We start from the raw sequence: 8,038 nt of genomic DNA, 5'->3' as shown, positions 1-8,038 counted from the left end.
GGCATGCATCTGTGGTCCTAGCTACTCGAGAGGCTGAGGTGGGAGGATCACTTAAGCCCAGTTACTTGAGCCAGGGAAGTCGAGGCTGCAGTGAGCTGGGATTGCCCCACTGCAGTCTGGCCTAGGCAACAGAGGAGACCCCGTCACCAAAAAAAAAAAAAAAAAAAAAAAAAAGTGTGCCGGATGGAGTCCCATACTGTCTGGCCCACGTGTTATAACTGTCACCTTAGCTAGAGCTGGAGCAAGAATATGGAATTGAATCCAGGCTCAGCCTCCACTGTAAGGATGGGAGACATTATTTTCCTAAGGAAGAGAATCCCAGTGAGTGCCTGGGAGCTCCATCTCTTCCCAATCTGCCCATACTTGGCCTCTTCCTATTTCCTGTCTTCTAAAAATGTATGAAATTCAGGGATGTTAGAGAGTGCTATTTGGAGAAATTAAGTTTAAATGAATCAGAAACACATGGATTGGCTTTCCCTCAGAAGAGACTCACATTTTAAAACGGAAAGGAAAATATATGGGACGAAGACCAGATGGGATTTTAAGTATGGAAGAAGGGTTGGATTGTTTCAGCAAATCCTAATCAGTTGGGCACACCCAGCTCTAGCTCCCCTTCACAGCTGCAAAGACAGGTCACCTCTGGGATGGTATGGTCCTGGATGTGTGTTCTCAGAGGACAGAGGCCCTGGATGTGGAATTAGAGGGCATGAGTTCATGATGAAGCAATGTCACTTAGCAGCTCTTATGGCCTTGCCACTGGACATTTGGCCCTTGTAGGGCGTGGTGGCTCACGCTTGTAATTCAGCACTTTGTGGGGATGAAGTGGTCAGATTGCTTGAGCTCAGGAGTTTGAGACCAGCCTAGGCAACATGGCGAGCCCCCTTCTTTACAAAAAATACAAAAATTAACGGGGTGTGGTGGTGTGCACCTGCAGTCCCAGCTACTCACTCAGGAGGCTGAGGTGGGAGGATGGCTTGAGCCTGGGGGGCAGAGGTTGCAGTGAGCTGAGATCGCACCACTGCACTCCAGCCTGGGCAACATAACAAGACCCTGTCTCAAAAAAAATTTTTTTTTCTTATCTGCTTTAAAAAAGGGGGAGGAATTTATAACATCTTTACTACCTACTTGTATGGCTTTTGTGACATCATGGTTCCAGTTTGCCAAAAACTATTAAACCATTATTGTAATTTAGCTGCATAATAAAGACTTTGAGGAGGGTAATAAGTGATGAAAATGACCACATTAGGGCAAATAGGTTGACAATTTATAAAATGGCTTTAAGACTTTTCCTTCAAGGGGATGTTAGTGTAAGCACTAACATCAGTAACTGGTTTTTGTTAGGTGATCCTTATCAGCCCAGCCTCCTAGGTCACAGTCATTCAGTCAATAGCGTCACTTTTAGATGACTTGCATGCAGGAACCCAGCCCCTGGTGCTACATATGAGTATGTTTGGGAGTGGGGTAGTGGTGGGGATATGGAGCACTGGGACGATGAGCAAGAAAACTAAATGCTAGAAGGATGCTTAGAAATAATTATGTCCAGTTTCCTCCTTCTCCAAGATTAGAAAACTGTTAGCTAGGCACCGTGGCTCATGCCTGTAACCCCAGTGCTTTGGGAAGCTGAGAGGGGAGGATGGCTTGAGGTCAGGAGTTTGAGACCAGCCTGGGCAACATGGAGAAAGCCCTGTCTCTACCAAAACAACTTTTTTAAAAAATTTTTTTTGGACAGGGTCTCACTCCATTGCCCAGGATGAAATGCACTGGCCTGACCACTGCTCACTGCAGCCTGGACTTCCTGAGCTCAGGTGTTCTCCCACCTCAGCCTCCTGAGTAGCTGAGACTACAGACGTGTGCCATGGCCGGCTAATTTTTTCTGTATTTTTTGTAGCGATGGGGTTTCACCATGTTGCCCAGGCTGGCCTCTAACTCCTAACCTCAAGTGATCCTCCTGTCATGGCCTCCCAAAGTGCTAGTGAAATGGGAAGAGTTCCCTTGTCCCCCTTGCAGGGCATACGATAGGGGTGTGGCTCGCTTCTTCAGTGCCCCGCTGCTCAAACTTCTAGGGGAGACATACAGACAGGCAGGCTGTGGGGCTCCGGCCCTACCGCAGTGTCTAAGAGTGAATGCTTACAGCTCCTGGCGCCCCAGTGGGCGCGTGTTACAGGGTGCTCTTTCAGCTTTGCTGTCGATAAGTGGCTTGTCTTACCAGCTCAATTAGACTTCTTCCTTGGCGCAGAGACCGAGAACAGAGGGCTTTCTGTATCCCGGGGTTCTTCCCTTGGTGTACCAGAATCGGATCACATGTGGGCTTGGAGTATGAGTGCAAGGTTTTATTGAGTGGAAGTCGCTCTCAGAATATGGGACAGCCAGAAGGTAAATGGTTGTCGCCTAGGAATCAGGCCGCTCGGTGGCCCGCGCTCTCCTCTGACTGCCTCAGCCAAACTCTGTGTTGCTCTGCCTGATCAGTGGCCTGCCAGCATGCCGGTGCCTATCAGTGCGTTCCTCTCAACGCCTAGCCAATGTGTGTGCCTCCGCTGACGTGCTCCTCCTCAACATCCAGCGGCTTGGCTTGGCTTTCCTTGGGGGGGGTAGATCTCGGGTTTTTATAGGCACAGGATGGGGGCGTGGCAGGACAGGGTGGACTTGGGAAACGCAACATTTGGGCAGGAAAACAAAAATGCCTGTCCTCACCTAGGTCCGTGGGGGTGGAGCCCTAGCCAAGGACTACGCCCTCCTGTACCCAGCACTTCCGTTACCCCTTTCTGTATCATTTAAAGGCACCACACACTTCCCTTCCTAGCACTTACGTATCAGTTTCAACAGAAGAGAATGATTTCCTGGGTTCTCAGTTTTTCTCCCTGACTCGGGGTACCAGCCCAGTGTCTAAAGGCTCTTCGGGGTGGCGGTGGGCCGTGTTTTTCTTTCTCTCTCTCCTCTGATTGGGACAGAAATGTCTTACTCGCCTGAGTGAGCAGGGCACACAAGCAGGCGGGCTCTCTCTCCGGCCGGCTTTGAAGCCGACTAATTAGGGCTTGGGCTGTCACAGCTGGCTTCCCCTGCGCCTCCCCTGACCCTGCCCCTGCCGCTGCCCCTGCCTCCCAGCCTGAGAGCTCCTCCCCTGCTGCCTTGTCTTCCACGGCCGACTGGTGGCTCTGCCAAGCCATCCGGCAAGGCCCTGGGATCTGAGGCCTGGAAGGGCCAAGGCAAAAGCAACCGAGAAGGGACAAGATGAGGCGTGGGACATGGAGCGAGCCCACAGACCACGGGGTTTCTAGAGGACTGCCTCTTTCTGGAACCCCTCATTCATAAGGAAGCCTGGAAGAGAGCCGCCTGGGCTAGGGACTGAGCCGTGGGCCCTTTATTTGAAAGCCAAAGCTTTCCGAAGGCTCCAGCCTCTCAGCCTGGCCCTTATAATTAGCCCCAATCAAAGTGTTTATGTCAGGGCCTACTGCGGAACTCAGGGCCCCATGATTTCATTCCAAACCTGGGGGGAGGAGAGGGGAGTGAGAGGGACTTGTGTTGGTACAAAGAAAACAGAGGGATGGGTAAGAAAGTTGGTGAGTGAAGAGGAGGCCGTCCTGGAGCAGGGAGGACAATCAGCCTCCGTTTGGCCATCAGCACAGGGGTCAGGAATCCACCTAGAGGAGCTGGTGCCCCAGCATCCTGACCTGGGCCCGGCCTGCCTGCCTTCTGGGCAGGCTCTGTGGGTGGGTGGGCTTGTGCCAATCGGAAATGGCTCGGATATAATTAACCCAACTAATCACCAGCCTCAGCCCTGTGGGAGGGGAGGGCACAGCCCATAGCCACGGCCCCCCCAGGAAGCTCCCATCTCCCCATGCTCCCTCCTCTGACTGGGGCCTGGGGTGTTCCAGGCTCTGCAGCTGCTTTGGATGGTAGAATCAGAGGGCGGGCAGGGAAGGGATGTGGGAAGAGACATGTTGCTTATTCTTATCTCTGGCCTCAAGGGGGATGTGACCGGAGGGAGTGTGCCTGAGTGTCTGAGCTGGCAAGGGTGGGTGGGGGGTGACTGAAGGGATTGTGGGGGAGGGCTTGGAGAGAGACTCCCAGCCATGGCTCCCAGGTGGCACTGGCTGTGTCCCACACTCAGTTAGCACTGCCCTCCTGTCTAGCCCTCCCGGGGAACTCTCCCGAGTGGGATACAGCTTGTAGGGAATTCTGTGTACTGGGTTTCGTGTCCTGGGCAGGGCAGGTGGAGTGTGGCATCTGAGTTCATATCTCCCTTGCGAACAGTCCTGCGAGGCCTCCAAGGGGTATCCCAACACCCTTCCTCCCTCAGCAAGTGAAGCTTTCCAGGATCTGGACCTGGCTCCTCTCTCCAGTTTCACTTCTCTGCACTTCTGGGCTCCGGCCTCGGGACTCTCACCTTCTCAGACCAACCATACCAGTGGCCTGAATGCTCTTCCCTTCCTCTGATCTGAACATTAACTACCAGTAGCCTCAGAACTTGCCTCAGGTCAGGTGGCCCCTCTGCCGTCAACCACACCTGTCCAACCCTCTGACACCCTCTGTCCCTAGCATCGTGTTCTCACTTGCCAGAGCACGTCACATTCTTTTTAGTTATTTGTTGCCTTTCTTCAGTGTGACCTCCTTAAGGAAAGTCTGTGTTTGGTGTGTCTTTTATCTCTGTATATCAGAACCTAGCAAGATGCCTGGCGCATATGGGTGCCCAAGATCATAGGCTCAGGAGCCAGGCTACCAGGGCTTGAATTCTGCCTCAGCCATGGCTAGCTGTTGACCTTGAGCAAGTTCATTCACCTCTCTGTATTATGTGTAAATGAGGATAGTAATTAATTGTACCTACCATGTAACTAGTTTGAGGATTAAATTAAATAAAGTGTTTAAAACAATGTTCACCACATAGTAAACACTTAGTAAAGTCTTGCTGGGCTTATTCATTCATGTGTTGGCTCAGTGGATGTGTCTTTAGTACTTACCATGAGTTAGGCACTTGCTAAGCTCAAAAGAGGCACAAATGCAGTCCCTGCCACATGCAACTTCCTATCATTGAATGAATACATGGATAAGTATTTGGTGTGGTACTTGTAGGTTTGTTATATGTTTTGTTAAACAAACTCATATAAATGTTTGAGAATGTGTCCAGCTCAAATATTGAATAATTATGTATCTATTTGGATGGCATAAAACAAGCAATGAAGTGGGGGTAATCCCCTATAAACCTGACAGATGAGCCGGACGTGGTGGCTCATGCCTGTAATCCCAGCACTTTGGGAGGCCAAGACGGGCAGATCATGAGGTCAAGAGATTAAGACCATCCTGACCAACATGGTGAAACTTTGTCTCTACTAAAAATACAAAAATGATCTGGGTATGGTGGCGTGCACCTATAGTCCAAGCTACTCTGGAGGCTGAGGCAGGAGAATCGTTTGAACCTGGGAGGCGGAGGTTGCAGTGAGCCAAGATCGTGCTACTGCACTCCAGCCTGGAGACAGAGCAAGACTCCGTCTCAAAAACAAAACAAAACAAAAAAAACAACCTGACAGATGTAATGGCGATTGGAGCCTGTGGAAAAGCTTGTCCGGGGCAGAGGGTCTTGGAAACCTCCTGCCCAATCTTCATTGTTAATGAGAATGTCAAAAAAAAAGGTTTTTTTTACAAAGCAAAATAATTACTCTCATAGAAATATACAATAATCGTGTCAAAATTTTTATTTAACTCATTAATTAGTGAAGGAACCAGTAAGATGTTACAGTCAGTTCAAAGGACGATCCAAAGAGCAGAGACGTATTTAGGCCATCCAGAATGATGAAATAGGCTGGGCGTTGTGGCTCACACCTGTAATCCCAGCACTTTGGGAGGCTGAGGCAGGTGGATCACTTGAGGCTAGGAGTTCAAGACCAGCCTGGCCAACATGGCAAAACACTGTCTCTACTAAAAATACAAAAATTAGCCAGGCATGGGGGTGCATGCCTGTAATCCCAACTACTAGGGAGTCAGAGGGATAAGAATCACTTGAGCCTGGGAGGCGGAGGTTGCAGTGAGCCACGTTCGCACCATTGCACTCCAGCCTGGGTGAACGGAGTGAGACTCTGTCTCAAAAAAAAGAAAAAAAAAAAAAAAAAGAATGATGAAGTAGCAACCTGGGCAACATAGTGAGACCCTGTCTCTTCCAAAAATTTAAAAAATTAGTCAGGCATGGTGATGTGCACCTGTAGTCCCAGCTACTCAGGAGATTGAGGCTGCAGTGAGCTAAGATCATGCCTCTGCACTCCAGCCTGGGTGACAGAGCAAGACCCCGTCTTAGAACAAAACAAACCAAACAAAAAGAGTGATTAAGTAGGCACGGCACAGTGGCTCACATCTGTAATGCCAGCACTTTGACAGACCAAGGTAGGAGGATCACTTGAGCCCAGGAGTTCAAGACCAGCCTGGGCAACATGATGAGATCCAAAAAATAATCTACAAAAAATTTTATCTACAAAAAATAATTTTAAAAAATTAAGGATGGTGATGCACACCTGTAGTCCCAGCTACTCAGAAGGCTGAGGCAAGAGGATCACTTGAGCACGGGAAGCTGAAGATGCAGTGAGCCATGATCACACCACTGTACTCCAGCCTGGGCAACAGAGCTGTCTCAGAAAAAAAAAAAAAGATGAAGTAAATCTGCTTAATAGATGCTAAATTGGTCAATAACCACTGAGCAATAATCAATTGCATATGCACCAGGCAATTTGCATTTCTATGGACAAGAATTATTTCCATTGATTGGGTGGTAAAATAGCTCGATGACCATAAAACTAGAAAATAACACACAAGGACAGACAATAATCTTTTTGACCATATTGGAGTCTTTCACAACTCTCCTTGAAAAGAAGTTCTGTACTCAGGTATTTCAAGATGACAAGTGCCACTCACCTCTTTCAAAGAGCTTTAGTGTCAGTAGGGAGCCCAGGGCCAACCAAAGAGAGCTGGGAATCTGCCCACAGTCTCAGGCAGGAATAGCCTTTGTCACCTATTCTTCTCCACCCCAGCACTCTGGCTCCTGTCTCCCTCTCTTCCTCTTTCCCATTCCACCACCATGTCCTGTCAAACTGTGCAGGCAATATATTCACCCCTCTACATGGTAGTCACCATTTATTTTATTTTATTTTATTTTATTTTATTTATTTTTGAGACAGAGTTTGGCTCTGTTGCCCAGGCCAGAGTGCAGTGACAGGAGCTTGGCTCACTGCAACCTCTGCCTCCCGGGTTCAAGTGATTCTCCTGCCTCAGCCTCCCGAGTAACTGGGATTACAGATGCACACCACCACACCCAGCTAATTTTTTGTATTTTTAGTAGAGTTGGGGTTTTGCCATGTTGGCCAGGCTGGTCTTAAACTCCTGACCTCAAGTGATCCGCACTCCTCAGCCTCCCAAAGTGCTGGGATTACAGGCGTGAGCCACCGTGACAGGCCTAGCCACCATTTATTGAATATCTGCACATTCTATGTGCCAGACACTTAACATTCATAATATCATTTAATGTTCTTTGTTGTTGTTGTTTTAATTGAGACGAGATCTCACTCCATCACCCAGGCTGGATACAGTGGCGTGATCATAGCTCACTGCAGCCTTGAACTCCTGAGCTCAAGAGATCCTTGTGCCTCAGCCTCCCAAGTAGCTGGGACTACAGGCGTGTACCACCAAACCCGGCTAATTTTTAAAATTTTTTTGTAGAGTTGGGGTCTTGTTATGTTGCCCAGGCTAGTCTCAAACCCCTGGGCTCAAGCAATCCTCCTGCCTTGGCCTCCCAAAGTGCTGGGATTACAGGCACGAGCCACCACACCCAGCCTCATTTAACATCCAAAACTACAAAATGAGGGCTCTCTTTACCTCAAATTACAACATATTTAAATAACTGATGTTCATGAAAGCTGCTGTAAGGGCATCAAACTAGCCAGAGTGGAGCAAAAGTAGTCAGACTCTTAACCACAATACCAGAAATAGCAAGTGGGGTTATTTCTCATGCCAACTGTAATTAATTGGGTGACTACCTGGAGTACTGTGGTGAGATGGATTC

The 8,038-nt window shown here is 48.9% G+C and overlaps 2 annotated features.

The window, feature by feature from the left end:
• Positions 2,775 to 2,934: an enhancer, noted in NCBI's record as "active region_12264". NCBI's record gives its function as "activates an Ori minimal core promoter by ATAC-STARR-seq in GM12878 lymphoblastoid cells {active_cell/tissue: GM12878}" and the evidence as "EXISTENCE:reporter gene assay evidence [ECO:0000049][PMID:35858748]".
• Positions 3,045 to 3,164: a silencer, noted in NCBI's record as "silent region_8598". NCBI's record gives its function as "represses an Ori minimal core promoter by ATAC-STARR-seq in GM12878 lymphoblastoid cells {active_cell/tissue: GM12878}" and the evidence as "EXISTENCE:reporter gene assay evidence [ECO:0000049][PMID:35858748]".

Source organism: Homo sapiens, chromosome 17, assembly GCF_000001405.40.
Source record: "Homo sapiens chromosome 17, GRCh38.p14 Primary Assembly".
NCBI classification, from domain to species: Eukaryota; Metazoa; Chordata; class Mammalia; order Primates; family Hominidae; genus Homo; species Homo sapiens.
Note: the sequence above shows the minus strand (reverse complement) of the source record. Positions and strands in the feature narration are given on the sequence as shown.